The sequence below is a fragment of the Homo sapiens genome, chromosome 5 (genome assembly GCF_000001405.40).
Source record: "Homo sapiens chromosome 5, GRCh38.p14 Primary Assembly".
In the NCBI taxonomy this organism is placed as follows: Eukaryota; Metazoa; Chordata; class Mammalia; order Primates; family Hominidae; genus Homo; species Homo sapiens.
Window position 1 is genome coordinate 133,471,727 of NC_000005.10, and position 22,660 is coordinate 133,494,386.

The 22,660-nt window shown below is 44.2% G+C and overlaps 1 protein-coding gene across 3 annotated transcripts in view, besides 2 other annotated features; it reads right to left on the bottom strand.

Annotated features, from left to right (window-relative positions):
- FSTL4 (follistatin like 4) overlaps positions 1-22,660 on the bottom strand; it is a 645,613-nt gene that overhangs the window by 275,272 nt on the left and 347,681 nt on the right. The window lies entirely within an intron of this gene.
- Positions 10,405-10,906: an enhancer, noted in NCBI's record as "H3K27ac hESC enhancer chr5:132817823-132818324 (GRCh37/hg19 assembly coordinates)". NCBI's record gives its function as "activates a minimal SCP1, AML or CMV promoter by ChIP-STARR-seq in primed H9 embryonic stem cells {active_cell/tissue: H9 hESC(primed)}" and the evidence as "EXISTENCE:reporter gene assay evidence [ECO:0000049][PMID:30033119]".
- Positions 10,907-11,406: an enhancer, noted in NCBI's record as "H3K27ac hESC enhancer chr5:132818325-132818824 (GRCh37/hg19 assembly coordinates)". NCBI's record gives its function as "activates a minimal SCP1, AML or CMV promoter by ChIP-STARR-seq in primed H9 embryonic stem cells {active_cell/tissue: H9 hESC(primed)}" and the evidence as "EXISTENCE:reporter gene assay evidence [ECO:0000049][PMID:30033119]".

Below are 22,660 nucleotides of genomic sequence, written 5' to 3' on the forward strand. Positions count from 1 at the left end.
AGATAGATTAAATGGGTCACCCACAAGGAATAAGGATCAGTCTAGCATTGGACTTTTTACCAATGACACTGCTTGCTTAAAGATGATGCCTTTAAAAGTATGACGGTGTGGTTTTTCTCTCCTGGATACACAGTTAACACTACACTTTTCATCCCCCTTGCTCTAGAGGGGGCCATTCCACTAGGTCTCACATACAGGGTGTGAGTAGAATGATACGTCACCTCTGGGCTGGATCAGTTAAGAGCTGCTGGGCCTTTTCCATGTTCTTTCAAATCTCCCTCTCATCCTTGTCCATAGTGACCTTGGGGGCCACACTATAGAAGGAATCTGGTTTCAGAATTACCGTGTGGAGCAGAGAACTCCTGCACTCCATCAGGGGAATGAGCAGGCTGTGCTGTGAGTATACAATAAACTGTATTATACTACTGATATTTGGGGGTTATATAGCAGTTATACTATCTTGACTATTAGAAGAAAAAATTTCAACCTGGAATTCTATATCCAGCCGATCTGTCAATCAAGTACAAGTACAGAATGAAAGCATTTTCAAATATGTGAGTAATAGAAAGTGGAACTCCTGTGCACACTTTCTCAGGAAATAACATAAGGGTGTACCCCAGAAAAGAGAAAGTGCAAGCCAAGAAAGGAAATTCAGGATAACTTGGGAAGGAGAGTGCGAGCAAAAAGAACATTCTAGATTAGAATAAGAAAAAGAGGCTCCAGAAGAAAGGACTCCATAAAAAACACAACTGATGATAAAAGAAATCATATTAGTGAATGCCTAGAAAATGTGAGGATATGTGGAAGGCAATTGATGGAGGGTAAAAAAGGAGAATTTATTTCAGCCTGATACCAGAAAAGAGTCTTCACTGAATGGCTCAGAGTTGGTATGCTGGATGCATAGAGAACTAAATGAAATACTAGGACATGATTTGACTCTCCAACATTGGCATCTCACAGTCATACTAATGTAAATGCGATTTATTTGTCTTCAACTTTCAGAATCAGCTTATAGACAAATGATAGAAGACCATCCAAATGCTGACATGGCAAGGACATCTTGGTCATCAAGTCTAACCCCAGCCTTGAAAGATGAATACACCAGGGTTTGAACAGGGATGTGATTTTCCCAAGGTCCCTGAGTGTGTAGCAGGGGTTGGAGGGCAATGGCCTTGGTGCCTGTACTCCCAGTCCCACTGTGCCCTGACTCTTGTACTGTTCACCTTGCCTGGACTCACACTCACAAGCCATGGCAGGGGGAGCTCCTGCCCATGACCTTGCTTTCTCAGCAAAGGCTATTGTGACTCCTGCAGGGTTTATCACCTAGTTCCAGTTCTGACACGCCTTCCCCTCCCTGTTTCTTTAGACACTTTTCCTCCCAGTAGGGGCAGCTGTTGATTTCTTCTCTAGAGAAGATAACCTTGCCTGTCCAATGTGTTCTAATCTAGTGCTCTGTTTCTACAGTTTTCAGATGCTATTGGAGAGACTCTGATTTGAAAAGAAAAGAAAAAAAAAATCAATGGTGTGTTTTGTACAGGTGACACGTCAAAGCATGTCAGCTGCTTGGCAGTTTGACTCCTAACCAGCTGGTCTGCAGTATCAGCGACAGGGTAGAATGCTTGGCCCTTTGGTCGTGACTGGACAAAGTGGCTCCTAGCTGCATGCAGTGTGTCCCTCCCATGGTCTGAGATCAGCACCGACCAGTCATGCTTGACCCCGTAACCACTTCGACAGCCATCAGCACACGCTGCAGCACCACACATGCAGTGTGTGGTGAGGGCTGCCCAACTGCTTAGGGGGTCAAGAGGTTATTAGGCCAGACCTCTGCCTCCGCGTCAACACATTACCTACATATGCTTGAATAGAGGAGTCTTCCACATTTGGAATCTCTAAGAAAGGTGTAATAACAGAGATAGAATCTCTAGAGAAATCTTAGGTATTAGTCTGTTCTCATGCTGCTGTGAAGAAATACCTGAGACTGGGTAATTTACAGAGGAAAGAGGTTTAATTCACTCACAGTTTCCCATGGCTAGGGAAGCCTCAGGAAACTTACAATCATGGTAGAAGGCACCTCTTCACAGGGTGGCAGGAGAGACAATGAGTGCAGAGTGAAGAGGAGAAAAGCTCCTTATAAAACCATCAGATCTTGTGCGAACTCACTCACTATCATAAGAACAGCATGGGGGAGCTGCCCCCATAATCTAATCACCTCCCATGAGGTCCCTCCCCCAATACATGGGGATTGCAATTTGAATTACAACTCAAGATGAGATTTTGGGTGGGGACACAGCCAAACCATGTCATCTTGCTACAGGGATGGTATGATCTAACCCACAGTAAAGAAAACAGATTCTAAATCTCACCTCAACTCCGCCTGCTGTATTTTCTTTCCACCTTAGGCTCATCTTCAGGGGGAGCTGAGACATGGGGAGTGCAGCATCTGGGGTGGCCTCTTGCATACAGGTGGTGCCTAATAACCAGGGAATGGGACATTCACACAATCCCTCCATGCCCCAGTTTTTGACCCCTGCATCACCCTCTCTCATCACGTCCTCCACGCATGCTGCCCAAGAATGAACAAACGGGAGACAGGGCCAGGCTCTTGCTGAGAACTGCAAGTGCCAGTGCCCAGCTAGAGAGCACAGCACCCCCCGGAACACAGGTTCAGGCTGGGCATTTTCATCTGTAGCCCCCGTGAAGGAGTGTCCCTAGCTCCATCAGTGCACTGAGAAATGCACAGGCCAGTGGAAAATGCCAGGATTTGCTCATTTCTGTTAATGGTTCTATTCTGTAGCTGTCATTAAAGGCATTCTGTGCTCAAGGATGGGCAAAACTCCATGGCTTTCGTGACTTACAGGCAGGCACTGCAACATTAAGCAGCTACTTGTGAGGAAGAGCCTTCATTTTCTGCTTCCCTACCCTGGCATTAATAAGGAAAGCACATCTAATTGCCAAAAATGGTTGATGCAATGAGAGAAAACTCCGAGCACCAGGGTCAGTGGAAAGGACTGGCTCACCAATGATTACTCTTAAATTATCTCTCCTCTGTCTTAGCAGCTTCCTTTAAACGCAGTAAACAAACAGCAACTGCTTTGCAGTTTTGACTGATAAGTATCTCATGAACGAGGCCCGTAATTTTAATTGATGGCACCCACTTCCTCCCGGTGCTCCCAACACCCATGGGGGAACTCAGCCTCACAGTGTTCGCGGGGAAACCCAAGTCATTCCGTGGCCCCGAAGTCATCCTAATGTTAGGTTCCCAAAGGCTGTCCTCAGCAGAGAGAGAATAAAAAGGAATGCCTCAGCTCATGTGTCACAAGCAGGCTGTGAGCCTCGTGTGCAGCCCAGGCTGGCCCCAGGACATGGCCCGGGCAGGCATTTAAGTATGGGAAGCAGGGGAGCTGGACGTCCGTCACATGTCTCAGTTAGGAACTAAAACTAAGCTTCAGGCTCCTGTTCCCGAGAATTTGCTCCGTCCTGACAAAAACCGCATCAATTTTCCCAGTTAACTACCAATAGGTGGGAGAGAAGGGCACACACCAAAATGTCATTTATAATTTAAAATTCATTATTGAAAAGGGCTCTGCAGTAATAGTTCAACCTCAATCATTTCAAAGATGCTTTCACAAAGGCGGCGTCCGACCGTGGGAACGGGGAGGCCAGGAGGGTTTTCCAGGGCTGCCTTCCCTGTTCCCTGTACCGTGCCTCCCCCTCCCCTGCCACAACCCTCCTGTCAGAAAGCTATTTTATCTCTGGAGAAGTTTTATGCCAGGGATATATGACCAGAATACATGAAGGTCTTTTGAATTTATTTTCAATAGCCCTGCTACTCTCTTCTCTATGAAATATTTAGCACTTAACTCGTTATTTCTGCTGCTGGCAAAGTCTCAGGTGCAGGTGGCTTTGTAGACATGGCAGAATGTCACACCAAGGTAATTGTTTCTCTTTATTTCCTCTAGATAAAGAATAAGTAATAGGCAAGTCGGAATTATCGGGTGGTGCTTCCATCATGAGCTCCTGTGATAACATAAACTGGGAGATTGAATTTGGAGTGGTCTGCATAATCAGCCCTCCCCGCTACTTCAACAATTTGCCTGTGAGTGAATCTGCATTCGTGAGCCACCTCTGCTACCCTGCTCTCACGCGTGTGTGAGAGTTCCTGCCTTCTAGGAGCTCTGAGTGGTGGAACTGGCTTTTAATGTCCACCCTCCAGAGGAGTCTGGGCGAATAAGGCTTATCTTGTGGGGCTCTCTGAGAAGGTGGCAGGAGGGTAAGGTGGGTGAGGGGTGCACAGCAGAAGCAAAGTTCAGGAAAGGAGGAGGACGAGAGAAAAGGAAAGTAGCAGAGGCAAAGAAAGGTGCTGAGGCCAGCAGAAAGGTGTGAAGAGAGAGGCTGCTGGGGCAAAAACGGGCAAAAATGAGATCATCACTCCCGGATAAGAGGCTTGCTGAACAGCTAAACCAAATGGAATCAGTCTCCAAACCTTTGGAGGCTCTGTCATTCAGCTTGAGGCAAATTCCATTAAGCTCAGTTACAAAAAGATGAAGGAACTGGGCGGCTAGTGAGTGCTACATCTTGGGCAACGAGCTTATGGCCCCTCGACCGCCTTGTCTTGTGTATACCACATTGCAGTTTGGTTTTCATGCATGGCTGACATGGGCTTGACATGAACACTGGTCAAGGCCCTCAGTTTAGCAGCACATTGTTATACCAATGCTTTCATAGCTCTCAGGAAAATTTAAGACTGAGAACAAAGTTTGTTCCTCCAATCCCCAGCATTTTAAGCAGGTGTAAATATTCATGCATGATGGGAAAGCTAGTTAGAGAGAAGTTGTTGTGGAGAATGGTTCTGTGAATTTTTTATAGCCTAGCCACTTACCTCCTTGGTAAACTCACACAGAAAAAAAGTGCACAGATGTCAAATTTCCACCTTCACTGACATATGTCCATTCTCTCAGGATAGAGGAGAAATCTCTGTCCATGTCCAACATGTCCTTCTGAGCCCTATTTACCCAACTACAATTCCCCTATTCAAGGGTCAGAGCTTGTCCTTTCTCTGTAGAGTGGACCTCACTGACCCCGAGTCAGTGAGACACTCATTGAGCCATCTTTATATATACATATATGGTGGTCATGGGATCCTTCTTCACCTGAAGAAGGATCAAGCCAATCAGAATGAATCTAACTGACCCACCTAAAGTTTACACCCATGACCTTGGCCTCTTAGGCAAAGTGCCTCAACATCTGGGGGTGGGGCTGCATCTGGCACACAGTACGTCCTCAGTAAATCATTTTCTTATTGAAGACTTTTGTGCCCCTGCAGCCTTATTCTGCTGTCAGCATTTTGCTTAAGAAGCAAGCAAACTAATACTATTGACATGAAGATGTTTACCTACTATTTAGGTTTAAAATTTGGTTTAAAATATGTTTAAATGATTCAATAATTATTAGTGAGTAAAAATCTAGAAAGAAAAAAGAAAAAGAAAAAGCTTAAAATATATTCTTCAAATCTGCAGATAGCTTAGTTGGCTTATACAAATACTACTCTGATTTCTAAAGGAAAGGAGTCAAATTTCTCACAGATAACCAATAAGCAGTTCAGCCATTTTCTCTCTCATTTGCTCTACTATTCTAACAAATTCCATTCTTTTTAGGTCTTTTCAATAGACTACCATTATGTTGGGCATTTACTTTAGGCCTGCTAGTCTGTGTTCAATGATTTTCATACAACTCATTTAATCCTCCTAGCAAACCTATGGAGACAGGGTTTAACTATGTTCCCAATTTACAAATAAGGAAACTGAGGCTGGAGAGCACATGTGGCTTGCCCAAGGCCACCAGAGTTGCATATCAAACAGTGCTGTGTGATTCCCAAAACCCCGCTCTTAATGGACTCAAGTTATTCTCTTCTCAGGAAGACACGGGGGGAAAATGACCCTTTAATGTTTTGTCTGCTTCTCTTCTCTTAGAGAACAACCTGCTGAAATTTTATTTGGTTTGGGCGGCAACTTTTCTGAAAGCATCTTCTTCAAACTTTATCTTCAAAACTCTGCAAAAAATGTTTTTTTTTCTTTTCCTGAGAAGTGCCAATTTTCCAGAGAATTCAGACAGAAATTTGCCCAAATAATTAAATTAATAACTCTGTCTTAGGTACTGAGGCATACCTCTTGTTGGGGACATTTCATGTCACTTTATGCTTCAATTACTGGAAAGTTCCCATTGTCTGGCCAGTGTGGCTTTGACAGCGATGACATCTGAGGGAGACGCCAATCATTAATGCCAGCCATACAAGTATCTCTTCCTGATTTTCACTGTGGTACATATCGTTGTGTGAGTGAGTTTCATTAGGAGGCAAATTATGTTCTTCTACTGAAGGTCCCCATTGAACCAAGAACCACTTTTGATGTTCTTCCAAGATATTACTAATGAAAAATGTGTGGGAATGAGCCACATAACCGATTCCCTGATTTTTTTTCTCTTAATAAAATGTATGCTGCATAAAGCCCACATTGTGGCCCCATTTGGATTTAGGCTCACTCAGCTACCTTCATCTTCACGATTTATGGTGTGGCTATACACACAAACAGTTTAAAAATATCTTGACTGCTCATCTGAAATTCTAACTGTATTGGTGAGCAAGTCGTCTGTCTCTGGACTGCTTCCATAACCCACTCGGGTTCAGACCACAGGAAGGAGCATCCGTAGCTGTGGTAACAGGCGGGGATAAATAATGCATTTTCAGGAGAGAGCCTTATTTTGCTGTAGTTGTTAGAATGCATTCCCCATATTACAGGCTTGCAAATTTAATCTTAATTTCTTCTGTGAGTTTCTCTCTAAGATTCTCCATTGATCCCCTGAGTCAAGAAAATGTGTAGTTTATCATCTGCCTGATCAACAATAGCTGAGTTCCTCCAAGTTGCCTCATCCTTTTCCTTACATCAGATCAGGACAAGATTTTAATTTTTCATGAAGAGTAAAACTGTAGCTTTCTACATGGCCAGATAACTGGGGTAATTTGCTCACACACACGAGTGCAGTTTCTGCTTGGGGCTATTGAGGCCTCTGCGATGACCCGGATTGCTAAATGGAAAGGAGGGTGCCTTGTTAGGCAGGGGTGGCAGAGGGAAGCGAGGAGTCCTTCACTGACCCCACAAAGTATGGAGAGAAGCCGCCCCATCCACAGCAGTGTCTCAGTCCCTAAAGCATACAGATAAAAATGATTTCTCACCTCTCAAATCTTTGCACATTTTCCATGTAAAGTGAAATGTATTTGGATAATTCTTTAAGTAAAATAGAAATGTCTACTGCCGGGGAGAAATTGAGAGAAGTTTAACTAAAATTAAAAAGCAGAAAAATTCTAAAGTCCTTATTATATGTCTCCACATTATCTTATTTGATTTCCTTCCCAGCACTCATCACTACCTAACACTCACCTGCCTTGATTTGCTCACTTACTGCTTGCCTGCATGACAATCCCATGAAGGCGGGGACCATGTGCGTCTTACTTGCTGCAGGGCTCCCAGGGCTGAGCCCAGTGCTGGGCACAAAAAAGGAGTAAATAGGTGTCAGTTTCGACACCTATTTTGAGTGAATCAACCAGAAGGCACCGGCCTGGGCCAGCCAGACTCCACTGATGATGTCTATACCGAGGCCGTAAGACTTCTCTAGGATGCAGTTCTTTTTCCATCTAAAGAGGGTAATACAATAGCCAAAGAGTGGAAGCAACCAAGATGTTCATCAGCCGATGAACGGATGCACAAAATGTGGCACATGTGATGGAATATGATTCAGCAACCAAAAGACATGCAACAACATGGAAGAACCTCAAGAACACTGTGCCCAGTGGAGAAAGTCAGAAACAAAGTGACACATTGTGTATGAGTCCATGTGAGACATGCCCAGAGGAGGCAAGAGTACAGTGACAAAAAGTGAGTTAGGGGTTGCCTAGGGCTGGGGTGGGCATGGGGGTGCCTGGATATCGGCATCAAGTTTCTTTTGCAGGTGATGAAAATGTTCTAAAATTAGATTGTAGTGACAAACTAATTTTAGAAAATTCTGCAAACAGACCAAAAATCATTGACTTGTACATAAAATGGATCAGTTTTCTGGCATGTAAATTATATCCCAATAAAGCTGTTAGAAAATGAAATACTATGTTAATGCCATGAGTTTTTGAGTTTTTTTCCTGTGGTCTTTGGGAAATGCACAGCAGTGTGGCTAATGTGTCTTTTATCTGCTTAAACAAAATAAATTGAATAAAAACTCCAAAAAATTAGAAAAGACGGGGACACTCTACCCTCCCTATAAGGATCCAATGGGACAATGTTTGTGACAGGACCTAACACCGAATGCAAGGGAGAAAGGCAGATGTGGACCCCAGGCGAAGTTGACCCTGCTGGTCATACCACCCCCGCATGCAGTAGGCAGATGGGGAGGGACTCACAGGCTGGAGCCAGACTGCCTGGGTTCAAATCTCAGCTCCACCACTAACTGGCCTGATGCCCTTGGGCAAATTACTTCACCTCTGTAAGCCTCCGTTTCCTCATCTGCAAAATCGGGACCATAATATTAACCTTTCACCATGAGACCTGTACCTGGTGCAGAATAAGCCATATGTAAATATTTGCCATTACTACTATTTGAGTTTCTCGCAGAAACCGAGGCACTTAAAATACCACCAAAGTGCTTCATGGTCATCCTGCGGCACTGAAGGTGAGAGGTGTGGGTATAAGAGACCTCTGGAATAGCACACATGGCTTTCAAAGTCACCAAGGTTTTGCCTAAGGGGACATTCTCTGATTCAACCCCAGCCACTCCTTGTCCTGGTTATACCTGGCTTGGATCAACGTGAAGCCGGTTCTACTTGTGGGCCCAGCTCCTGGAGAGAGGGTGACAGAGCCCTGGTATGGACGCGGTGGGAGCCAGGATCTCCTCTGCCTCAATGTTTTCCACTGTATTCTCCCCAGCGAGGCCTCTGGGCAGTCCCCTTGCAATCTAACATCTAGACCTTAAACCTCTGCTCCGGATGCTGCCACCCCAGCTGAATAACCTTCTTCATGATCCTGAAGAAATGCTTTAGTGGATGATAGTTCTTCTGTTTCTCTGGGAAGTGGAAACTTGATTTTTAAATGAGATTTCTCCCTAAGGCTTCACCTACCTTTCAGCAAAACTTCCAAGAAAAGAGCAGCTCCCGACACCAAACAGCAGGTGCCGCACATCACATTTACGGCCCCGTGTGTGGAGGAAGGCAGGCCAGCCCATGACATAGCAGCGGTCCGAGTAACCCGCTGGGTTCCAGTGGAACCCAGGCTGGAAGGGACCGTGGCTGTTGGCCTAATAAGCCCTAACAAGCTAGCCTGCCAGGGGCTGTGCACTGCGCTGTTTACCAAGGATGTCCTGAGGTCAGTACATGTGACTCCATGAGCAGTGAGCATGTTGCTCTCTGGCCTTGAGATGTTTAACTCTTGGTTGGCGTTAATCTGGATTGCAAGTTTTATTTCTGAGACTGATCATTCAAGAGCTATCAAGCATTGGTCAGGCACGGTGGTTCACATCTGTAATCCCAGCACTTGGGGAGGCTGAGGTGGGTGGATCACTTGAGGCCAGGAGTTTGAGACCAGCCTGGCCAACATGGCAAAACACCTATCTGTACTAAAAATACAAAAATTAGGTGGGCATGGTGGCACACACCTATAGTTCCAGATACTTGAGAGGCTGAGGCAGGAGAATCACTTGAGCCTGGGAAGCAGAGGTTGCAGTGAGCCAAGATTGCGCCCCTGCACTCCAGCCCGGGTGACAGAGTGAGACTGTCTCAAAAAAAAAAAAAAAAAAAAAGCTATTAAGCTTTTTTAAGGGAACTCATCACAGGTAGTCAGCTGCTCAGCTTGAAAGAACATTCTATTTATTTGTACATTCAATAAATGTTTATTGAGTGCTCACTATGTGCCAGGCTCTGGACCACTGTCTGGGTTCACAAGGGTGAACAAGTCAGACATAGACCCTACCTACATGGAGCTTACAGTCTGATGAAGAAGCCAACAGAGCAACCCGGAATTGACCAATTGACCTGTCATCAAAAGGAAGAGGTCTGCTGCTGGGACAGCAGCTCAAGTGCAGTCATAATAAAAAGGGCTGTAAATCTCCAATGCCTCTCTGTGCCATCTAAGGCATTCATACCCCAACAAAAACCATGAGAATAGGCAGAAAGTGCTGGGTCCAAGCTTTGGGGAATTTATCTTGAGAAGGAGGGAAGGAGCAAAGGAAGCTGCCACCAACATGGAAAAGGAAAACATCTGAAGATGAACTGTGCTGCGGTCTGGCGATGTCTGCCTGCAGATGCAGTGCCAGTTTCACTAACAGCTAATGCAAACTGATGCAAAAACGTCCATATTGCAAAGGAAAAGTGGAATCCCAAGACTGTTGATGGAATCTGCTCAGTATGGAAGGAAATGCCATGCAAATGTGTGTTTGAAAGATAATCAGGAAGCCAGACTGCAATGCCAAGAAAAATAAACCCAGTCTGATAATCCAGACTATCCTGGGCCAAAGAGCCAGATCTGAGCATTGCACAGGTTTCTGGCTGGCACTACCCTAGCATCAATGCTGCAGAGCAACATTTACTACAAGCAACTGAAACAATAGGAGAATCTGTTAAAAATAATCAGGCTCCCATGAAACATAACTGGCAAGGGTAGGGGCTGCCCAGAGGTTAGTCTGGGCTCAGCCATGGTTGTTGCAGGCCCTCAAGAGTTCACAGAAATGGACTGCTTCCAGAGAATGCTGTAGGGCTTACAGAGGCTGACCCCTCACCTTGCCCATGGTGCACTTCTCCCTGCCAGAGAACTAGCCAGGCCACCCACAGCACAGCCTCACAGCTCCACAGCAGAAACAGACGCCAGGGGCCCCAGCTATGGTGAGAGTGAGCAGGTGGCAGGGGCTGTCTCACCACAGCACATGGCTTGCAGGGTGTGCAGGTAAGGAGAAGGTGTTGGTATGCACGAGAGTGGGGATCCCAAGGCCTCCCAGGGAGGGCAGGGGCTCTGAGATCCCTCAGCTGTACAAATTGGCAGGAGGGAACTTCAGAGCAAGCCTACAGGGAAGCTCTGCATTTCCTGGGAATGATGACTCCTGGGCCCCTTGCTGATAATCCAGACTACCCTGGGCCAAAGAGCCAGGCCTGAGCATTGAAAAGGAACTTGCAGGCTGTCATGGACCAAAGCCACCTATGGAGAATGATATGGTTTGGCTGTGTCCCCACCCAAATCTCATCTTGAATTGTAGCTACCATCATCCTATGTGTCGTGGGAGGGACCCAGTGGGAGGTAACTGAATCATGGGGGCAGGTTTTTCCCATGCTGTTCTCATGATAGTGAATAAGACTTATATGAGATCTGATGGTTTTATAAAGGGCAGTTCCCCTGCACAAACTCTTGCCTGCCACCATGTAAGATGTGCCTTTGCTCCTCCTTCACCTCCCACCATGACTGTGAGCCCTCCCCAGCCATGTGGAACTAAGAGTCCATTAAATCTCTTTTTCTTTGTAAATTGCCCAGTCTTGGGTATTTCTTCATAGCAATAAGAAAATGAACTAATACAGAGATAGCACAAATGCCCAGCAAAGGGCATGTGACAGAAGGCCGGCCTTGTTCAGGGATGCAAGTGTACATGCCCCTACATGTGTGTGGACTGCAGAAGCCCATTCCTAGCACCCATCCCAATAAAAGGGCTAGGATAAGCTGGCTGGGGCTCTGACTGGACCCTCTTTAAAGCCTGACCATTTAAGCGCACTCCAGTCCCCCGTGGATGGGCTAGTTATCATCTATTCTTTCATCACAGTTTACCCTCTGACACTGGCTTCAGAGTTGCCTCATTATTTAGCCTGGAGGCCAAGGCCAGGTCATGATCCAGCCTTTTCCTTTTGGTGCTTCGGAGCTTCTCATGATAAGTCTTTGTGTTTCAGTAAGGCACAGGCGGGACATGGTAGTGGGAGACATCAGTAGGTCTCCAGGGCAGGTAGGGGCCTCTGGGTAGGGGCAGAACATGCTCAGCAGGAAATAAAATCCTTTCCTGCTGCCAGTTCTGTTATACAGCTCCCAGGCTGCCTCCTTGGCTCTCACCCAGGGCAAGGCCTTGCCCAGCATTCTGCACTACAGAGGTGCTGGCTATAAAGGCTTTCCTGTCTGTGGCTCCTCCCTGCAGCCTGCCAGGCCTCCAAGCGAGAATGTCCACTCCTGCTGTCTTTCTCTGGACTCTTCTCTCCCTACCCCCACCTCAAATCTCCAGCTCTCCTCATCCTGGCTCCAGCCACCTGGCTGCCTTTCACTTCCTTCTACCTTCCTCCACATACACCTCTGCCTAAGTAGGAGGTCCATATAGATTCTCTCTCCCTGGGTGTGGCACCTTCTCTGCTGTACAGCAAATTGGGCAATGTCCTCCTCTCCCAGGCATGGACTCCTGAAGCAAACGGAAGGCCCTGCACAAGTGGCACCATCATCATCTCTGAGCCCTCTCTTTGCAGAACATTGAAATGGAGGAAGAAAAAAGCTTTAAGCAGCATTTCATTGAAAGGCTTCTCACACAGAACTTTGACGATGACACTGGGAGAGGCTACTTATAAAAATAAAACTTTTTAAGAAATAGAGTTTTTCTTCACTCGGTTTTCTTAAACCAAGATTTAAGAAATCTCGGTTTTCTTCAGTAGCCCAGGAGGAAGGAAGAATAGAAGATATCTACTAGCCCACATGAGAGAAAAGCTTTATTCTCTTACATTTACAAGAATCATCATGTGTCAAAGAGAAATATGCTATTCTATAAGGTTTAAAACAGGTCATCTTAGAATTCTCATCCTGCCTTTGCCAAAACATAAAGAGAATTTCTCCTGCTTTCTAGACCTCCACTGCTGTATCTGCACTTGGTGGAAGCCCTTTCTACACGCTGCTCAGCAACATGGTCTCTATCGTCTCTTAAGTAACAACATAACACAGTGAAAAGAGCCTAGTGTCAGCGGTCAGGGTCAGGACACTTGAAATGTAGCCACACTTCTGCAACCGATGTCAGTGTGAGGGCTTCATATTCCCCTTCTGTAAAATGGGGATTCCTTCCTTCTTACTTTGCATAGGTGTCATAGAATTAGTTGAGATCGTGAATGTGACAGCTCAGAGCTTTCTAAATGTAAGCACCTTGTATTTATTAGGTAACAGTTCTTATTATTGCTGCAGGGAAAGGTGCCATGCAGTTCAGAATCAAGCTCAATTCAGGCATGGTTTGAAGGGTAACTTCAGCCAAAGAACTTTCTAGCTCTTCTCCTTTTTCTTTGTCAAGGATTTTAAAACATTAATATTACCCTTGACAGTAACCATAAATTTTGGTTTAAAAATGAAATGTGTCTGCCCCAGGTAGTGCCATTTCTCTGTCCAGAAAATAATTTCATGAGACATTCTAAGAGTTTCTTTCAATGGCCACAAAGAGGACACTTCAGCAGCCGCTGCTGTAGGAAAATTTGTTCTCTTAAGCATGTGCTTCTGAACAACCAAGGAGGCAGAGTTCACATTCACAGCCAGCTCTTGGGAGCAGATGCTGAAGAATATCTGCCTGGAGACTCACAGAGAAAGCAGGAGGGAACCCTTTATGGGCAGGTAATGGCGCAGCTTCCCATGCAGGCAGACCTTGCTGGTTCAGGCTAATTGGGAGGACAGCCAGCCTGTGTTGGCAACAGCTGAATTTGGGAACATTGAAAGTGAAAAGTAATTTAATTTCAGTACATGCAGCAACTCAAATTAGGCTAAGGAAGCATGGCCAGGACTTGCTGCTCAGCAGAGGTCCTTTAAACCCACTTTAAGAGAGGTAAATGATTTATAATCAGCACATTCCAAGCAAATATGCAAATAGCAGGAGCCATTGCAGCTGCAAACAAGCTGCGGTCCTAAGTGGGCTGGCAGGGCAGGCAGGAGGCACTCCTTCAGGCTGCAGCAACGTTCGGGTCCTCGGCAAGCACTCTGGCCCTGGAAAACTCAGCCCAGCTGCTGGCTAAAGAGTCAAATACTGTACAGGACCAGGGCTGAGTTGCTGAGGTTTGCCTCGAGTGCCTGGGAGCATCTTACCCACTGTACATGGACATGTTTTGTTCCTGATCCACAGTTATCTGACACATTACTTGTCACAGTGGGCTTCTTCCAGAAAACAAACTCTCCTTCAAGTGGCAAATCCCAATTTTCTCCAGTTCGGGACTATGGAGCCTGTCTTCCCATTGGTAAATGGGCATATTCCCAAGGGAGCAGGAAGTACAAAGGCCCAGCTCCTGGGGGAATGGCACTCACGGTGAGAATGGCTCACACTCATGAACATGTGGCCTTCATGCGACCATCGGTAAAAACACGGGCTCATGGAGGAGAATAAGCAAGGTGTGGGCAGAGGCGCCTGAGAGACAGAGACAGGATTGGGGGAAGGAAGGAGAGAGAGATCGGGAGCAAGAGACTGACACACACAGACACACTACGAGAGTATCAGAGAGAGACGTAAAGAGGAGGACAGGGTACGAGGGGCGGGGAGAAACAGAGACCAAGAGAGGGCAAGGAAGAGAGATACACAGAGACAGTGAGAGACTGAAGGAGAGTGATGAAGAGCGGGAGGGAGAGGAGGGGAGAGACAGGTTGGGGGAGAGGAAGAAAGAAAGAGAGACGGCAGAGGAGGGGGGATTGATTTCTCTGAGGAACAGGAGAAAGGGACATAATTGCAGCAGGCGTTCCCTCTCCTGTTCTGTCCTTCATTTTCTTTAAAACTAGCTTAATCATCAACCACATCTGAAAGCGCATTTGAGGAGATAAGTTGAAGAAAAACGTGTTTCCCTATGAAAAATCCATCACCCGACACAAGCTACTCTCATCTCTTGTGCTAAGAAAGCCAAAACAACCCTGGTGACCCTTTACAGTTGTGTTACTGCAAAAACCTAGAAACGGCCCCCTCTTCACCCTGCCAAACCCCAGCTCCTGGTCTGAAGTGATGGTCTCACAGGGGTCAGTGATCCCAGAGCAGGAGCTGGCGGTGGGTGGGCGGAGCAGAAGGAACTTTGAACCACACCTTCTTAGGCACAAACATACATATTGAAGCGCCACAAAACAGAGCAAAGTAGTGTTATCCCTGTTTGACCTATGAGGAAATTGAGGCCCAGAGAGGATAACTTGCTCAAAGTTATGCAGCCAGTAGGGGAGAATCCGGGTCCCACCTGACATGTGACACTGGCAGGAGGCCCCTGACCCTGGCTTCTGAGAACTGCACACCCTTACAGCACACAGCTTTGCCATGGAGTGCCACTTACTTATATTACCCTTGCCAGCAGCTGTATCTGGGGGTAGTGGGTCTGATTCTGGAATCCCATACACCAATGAACTGCATAGAAGGACCCTGTGAGCACATTGCTCAAGAGGACGCTCTGATGTAGGCATTTTCCTCTCTGAGCACGTGGAAGGCCTGACACAGAGCTCCTGGTCTCACTGCCCAAGTCATGCCCTTACATCTCCCTGCACTTGGCACGTGGCTCTGCACTCCTCCCAGGGTGACTGGGTTCAGGATGATCACACACAGCAAAGAGAAGGTGCCTGTGACGTATGTTGCTGCTTGATATTCACTTCCTTCTGCAATCTGAGCTGTCACCATCTTTCCTTGCAGATGATGGAGCATGAGCCACTCTGAGGTTCAGCATCACTCACAAAGTCCCTGCATGTGCAATGGCAGAGTCCTTGTCTTGGTGAACTGTTCTGCTGTTCATCAATCTCTGTGACCTCAGGTGAGCTCCTGCCTCTGAGCCTCAGGCTTTCATTTATTAAATGTAGAAGCTGTACCCCATAGGGTTGTTGCCAGTGTCTCCCAAGTTGATGTACATTTCAGCACGGTGCCTAGTTGATGACGAGTCCTCTCTCAGTAAAGGAGGGTTGGCCATGGAAAGCTTCTCCCTATGCAGGTGCTTCTCCCTGTACAGGTGTGGCCAGGGACTGTGTTCACCTCACCATCTCAGGATGGTGCTGACCACCCCCAGCAACTGCCCCACTGAGCTCATTTCCAGCCCTCCACTGAGCCACAGCTAAGGACTAGCATGAGCACTTCGTGACTGTCTCTGAGCTACTTAAAATCCTGCAGACACCGGGTCTGGCTCTAACTCTGCTGCTGAGGACACTTGGGCAAATCTCCCCACTGGTGTGGGCCTCAGTTTTGCCATCTTTAGAACCAAGCGTAGATCATCAGGTCTGAAAGAGACCAACCAGTCAAACACCAGCCTTTTGCAGATGGGAAAACTGGCATTCAAAGAGGGAAGTGCTCACTACTAATACAAAGATAGTGAAGGAAATAGAATTCAGACCTCTTCCTGAACAGCTGATGCTTTAAAGGACTGGAGCTAATTTGAATATCTGCTACCATATACACATATGGTTTTTAACTGGCATTTTATAATTTTGATTTTTGCTGATATAATTATCCTGCATTGTTTAGGATTATTTTAAAAAAGAAAAGCCAAGATAGCTAAGATAATCTTTGCGACGAGCTCTCTTTTTTTGAGATGGAGTCTCACCCTGTTGCCCAGGCTGGAGTGCAGTGGCACAATCTCTGCTCACTGCAACCTCTGCCTGCTGGGTTCAAGCGATTCTCATGTCTCAGCCTCCTGAGTAGCTGGAATTACGGGTACCCACCACCACATCCAGCTAATTTTTATATTTTGGTAGAGATGTGGTTTCGCCATGTTGGCCAGGCTGGTTTCTAACTCCTGACCTCAAGTGATCTGCCCACCGCGGCCTCCCAAAGTGCTGAGATTACAGGCGTGAGCCACTGCACCCAGCCAAGCTCTCTTTTTATGGTAAGAAATCTACACAGATTGATGACGGGACATGTCCTTTCATGTGTAGGGTAGAAATCATGTTTATCTCTAGATGAGAAATATGCTATTAAAAATGTAGATTTGGAAGTAAATTCCCAAACCATTGTCAATTTTTATTCTTGAGGAAAATGAAAACATAGTAGTAAGAGCTTCTGTGGGATGGGAGTGGGTATGGGGGTGTTGGCTGCAAATGAGCCATGAGTGCTTCAGAGGGCCACCCTCACCCCAATCTCATGGGCCCCATGATGCCCCTCACCCCTCCCACTGCCTCTAGATAACTAATCCTACTCTCTGGCATCTGGAGACTGCCCGTGAGAGATTCACAGAGCCTGAAAACTCCAAAGCTCCTGCTGTAGGACCTATCCAAAAGGCCATCTTGTCAACCCCCCATTGGACAGAGGGTAGGGGTACTGAGAGGGGCCAGGTAGCAGGGGTTAAATGAGCACAATCAATGCTATTAGATGGTTGACTCCTCCTTCCTCTGGGTCCTATCCTGGCACGGGGTGCCACTACTAATCAGGCCCAGAAGCATCCAAAATTCTTAAGATAAATACCAAACTCTGGACCTCTGAAGTGATAGGGCAGACCCTCTGGAGAACCCGTTTCTCGGCTAACCTTCTGTGGGGCATCTGCCTGGCCTAGTCCACTGCAGAAACCTGGTTCCTGTTCAGAGATGTTCATTGCACTGAGTGTTGGGATGGGGCCAAGTGTCATGAGAGGCGAGGAAGAACTCAGTCAGCTAAATAATGTAATAATCCTACACATGTGGCAGTATATGCAAGTGACTTCCATTGCCACCACCTAAAGTAGCACAGAGGGCCTCCATTTCTCTTTTCTTTTTTTTCTGTCACATGTCTATCCCAGGGGCTTCCATTTTTCAAGTGAGAAATGCTAGAATGCCTTTGAGGTACTATCTAGAAGGTTCTGCTAGCAGATATCGCCTGTAACATTCAGGAGAACTTGGGGCTAAGACTCTCAAAATATTCTTAAGAAGACATGCAAAGAGCCAGGCTCAGGGACCAATGCCAGTTCTGGTGGAGGAAAGTTCCCTTTTAGCACATAGACAGCACACTGAGCTGTCTGAGCAATGGATACATAGTATGTCACCCCCAAAATAGCCCCAGCTTCTCCACTCCATGTTGACCAAGAGAGCTCCTTGGCTCTACCTGTAGGGCCCTGATGCCCTCCCTAGGTGGTGACAAAAGACAAGGAGACACTTATCACTGACATTTGAACAGATGCCCATGAACATTAGTGAGATCAAAGGCTTACCTCTAGCCCTGAAAGCCAGCCTCCAGCCTGAAACCAGTGACATCATCTCCTACAACTGCAACCAGTGACATCATCTCCTACAACTCGTTCCTTTTGCCAGGAAATACCTGTTTCTATGCTAACCTTGACTGCCAGGAAACATCTCATTCCAGGTTCTCAGTACAGGACATTCTCCTCTTTGTCAAATCAGTTTCTTGCCTTTATAAACTTAATTTTACCTGCTCTGGTTTACATGTATTTTCCTCATAAGTCTCCCATCTTTGCCTCATTGTTTTTTTTTTTTTAAATCTGCAGGGTGCCATGAAAAATGCCGGAATGTCCTACAATAGAAGTGTTTTGTTCAGGTGTCACAGAGTACTAGTAGCTGTGTGGTGAAATTAATAACAAACTGATCTACTTCTTAGGTCATTTTGACCTTTGAGTGAATTAAAACATAATTCACATAGAACAGTCTCTGGCACATAAGCGTTTACTGCCAGTCTTGTCAGAGTTTGACAATTTTAAAAGTTTTTTTTTTTTTTCCAGGGGGCCAGATTTTGATTTTCTTGATCCTCACTATTGCTTCTTTATTTTCTATTAAGGCACGCTCTTTTCTTTATTATTTTTAAAGTTTGAGATGAACTACTGGCTCTAATTTTCTAAAATTATACTGAAGGCTATAACTTTTCCTCCAAGTATTGCTTTAGCAGCATCCTATATACTTGAATATGTAGTGAATTCATTATTGCTTGCTTCTAAACTTTCAGCGATTTCAGTTAGGACCTATTCTCTGATCCTTGAGTTATTTCAAAATATGTTTTTAAGTTTCCAAGTGTATGGGTTTGTAGTGGGCTTTTTATTAATTTATGATTTTGGTGCAAATTAGTTAAGGAATATGGCCTATCAATTAGTTGGTATTTGTTAAAACTTGTTTTGTGGCCAAGAATGTGGCTAATTTTTGTATTGTGCATGCAAAGAATGTGTATTAGGTGTGGAGTTTTACATATAATGAATGGATTAATCTTATTAGTCATCATTTTCAAATATCCAGTTTTTATTGAGTATACACGGACACAAAGAAAGGAACAATAGACACCAGAGCCTACTTGAGGGTGGAGTTCAGATGAAAGGAGTGTAAGGACTGAAAAACAACTATCTTTACTATGCTGTTTACCTGGGTGACAAAATTATCTGTACACCAAAACCCTGCAACATGCAGTTTACCCACATAACAAACCTGCACATGTACCTCTGAACCTAAAATAAAAATTGGAAAGAAAAAAAAATTGTTTTTAATAAATTTTTGTTTGCTTGACATCATTTTATAAAAATATGTGTCACAATATCCCATTATTGTAGATTGTAAATTTGTCGATGTTATTGTATAAGTTCCTAGGCTTTGCATTATGTCTGTTTAGGAGCTGTGTTAAGTGCATATAGGTTTATGATTATTATGTGTTCCCAGTGAATTGTTTCTTTTGTCACTGTGCAGTAAACCCAATAATGCTTTTGTGCCTTAAACAATACTTTGATATTAATGTTACTACAAACAATTTTTTCTTTTTTTTTTTTTTTTGAGACGGAGTCTCACTCTGCTGCCCAGGCTGGAGTGCAGTGGAACTATCTCGGCTCACTGCAAGCTCCACCTCCCAGGTTCATGCCATTCTCCTGCTTCAGCCTCCAGAGTAGCTGGGACTACAGGCGCCCGCCACCACGCCTGGCTAATTTTTTTGTATTTTTTTAGTAGAGACAGGGTTTCACCATGTTAACCAGGATGGTCTCAATCTCCTGACCTCGTGATCCACCCACCTCGGCCTCCCAAAGTGCTGGGATTACAGGCATGAGCCACTGCGCCTGGCCTAATTTTTTCTTTTAGTATTTGTTAGCATATATTTTCAATTAATTTCATTTCAAATTTTGTGCCATTATATTTAGACATGATCTTTGTAAATAGCACATCCGTGTATTTTAAAAATTCAATCTGAAAATTGCTATTGACTAACAGATAAATCCAATCCACTAAAACATATTACTGATATATTCAGTTTTTGCCAACTTAATTTGAGTATTTATTTAATATTATTTTTATTGCTATATATTATTACCACTTATGATGCCTTTACTTTGCTTCATTTTGTCTACTTCTCTGCTGTCTACTGAACTGCAATCTACTGAGCTGTCTGAATGTTATTTATCCAACTCTTTTTTTCCAGACTCTTCTGTTAGAGGTTATATTCTATTTCTTTTCTTTTACAGGTTACCCTTAAATTTTCAATATACATTCTGACTTAACGCCTAAAGTTTTTTAAGGCCTAGTATCTTCTCAAATAACACAAGAAGCATAAAATTCTTTAGTACTGACCATCATCACCATCTCTTGTTTCATATTTTAAATGACCCCAAATTAGTCATTTTATTATCAATGCTTTTCTTCAGTCAACACTTACTTATAATTATGCCTATGTTTTTGCCTATTCCCTTTCTCACTAGCAATTATTGTATTACATTATTTTCTTCTGGGGTCAATTGCCTTCCTCCTAAAGTATATATACCTTTAGTTCTTTCAGTAAGAGTTTATGTAACCTCTTCAGTAACCTCTTAAATCTTTATCAGAGAGTATCTTTGCCCTTCACTCTCAAACAGAATTCTAAGTTGACTATTTTACCTCATTGTTTAGAAGATATTATTCAATTGCCTTCTGGCTTCCATTGTTGCTAATGAAGTTTGCAATTAGAAATTGTTCCTTTGCAGAGAATCTTTTTTTCTTCTTTGGTCACTTTTTATCTTTGGTATTCTGCAGATCATTGTAACATAATTTGTATTTATACTGTTCATGATTTGGAGTGCTGCTTTTATCTAGGCATTTATATCTTTAAAAAAATTTTGGAAAAGGTCTAGCTATTATCATTTCCAGTGTTTCTTCTCCCTCACTTCCTCTACGCTTTTCTTATAGACTACCCTACTTGTTCTTCAAAACTCTTAATAATATCTTTTAACAATATTTCTTAATATTTCAATATCTTAATATTTTCTCTTAATATCTGTTTTATATTTTCTATCTTTGTGTCTCTCTGAGCTCTTTCCTGAGTAATTTCAGAGCTATCTTCCTGTTCAACAATTCTCTCTTCAGCTGTACCTAATATGTTTTTAAATCATTTATTGTATTATTAATTTAAATAATGTTAATTTCTAGAAATTCTACTTTTCCAAATTTGCTTGTTTTTCCCCTACAATTCCTTCTTTATAATTCTCTTCTTTTTATTATTCTAATAATTTCAAACATAGATTTTTAAATAGTTACTTTTACATTGTGTTTTATTACGTGAAGATTCTGAAGGAGCTAACCCCAGTGTGTGAGTCTGGGGTTAACTCTTCCCGATGGCAAATTAGTTCCTTATGATCTGCAATTTTATGTTGTAGGTTGAGATTTTCTTTTTCCCATCGGCATCCTGTATATTCTGGTGTGGAGATTGTCCTTTATAATGGGTTTGCATGTATTTCTCTAGGAGCTCTAGTGGTTTTACTGATCTGGGACCTATCTTTAAGTTTATTTCTAGGTTTAGAATTTCTGTAACGTGTAAGTAGTGTAAATTCAATGTGGTTCAAAGTCTAGGCAGACCACAAGCTACTTGCCACATTCCTTGACCATTAGGTAAAATTTTCTTAGTCCCCATTTTCACAGAGAGGGCAGTCCTCCCAGGTCTCAGCCTTAAGTAGAATCCTTTCTGTATTGTGCAGGCCCAAAGTACACTTGCTGTCCTGGGATGGAGATAAAAGCCTTTGCCACTAGCCCTGAGGTGGCCCGTGCTGGGTCTGACGCTGCCCCCTCAAACCTCAGGGTGCCATGACATTGGCTTGCTCACTCGTCACTGCCTTTGAGAGTGGTTTGTTCATTTTTGTACCTAGAAATTTCTCTAACCTTCAAGTCCAGTCATATATTTAGAAAAATAAACATTTTCCCCAGTAATATTTTATTTTCTATATGTTTGGATTGAGGAGAATGGAGGGGTCCAGGGTCAACTCAGATCGTCCTTCTGCCGGATATTGAACCTTCTAGCCCCTTTCTTCAATATTTATTTTCTTCTGAGACAGAAACCAGCCCCCAGCCAATCACTGCTTCAGACTACACAAGGTTATGAGAAAGAAATCCCAATAGTGAATTACAGAGCTTCAGCATGTGTAAAAACAATAGCATATTTACTATGTGCCAGAAACTGTTTTAAGCACTTTAGCCATACTAAGATATCTGGTTCCTATGACAGCCCTGTGAGGTAGGTATTATTATCCATTTTACAGTTATGGATACTGAGGAACAGAGAAGTTAAACACACCTACTGCGTGCTTAATAACATGTAAACCACAGCAGAAAGAAAAAAGAAAAGGAAGAGATTTCCACTTCCCCTGGAATCTGGGATGATAGAGGACTTCATGTGTGATGGTTTTGCAACTTTTACCTGCCACTGGGGCCTTAACACTATGTTATCCTGCCTAAGATGATACTTGTGATATCTTTTTTTTTTTTTTTTACAACACTGTGTTGTATGA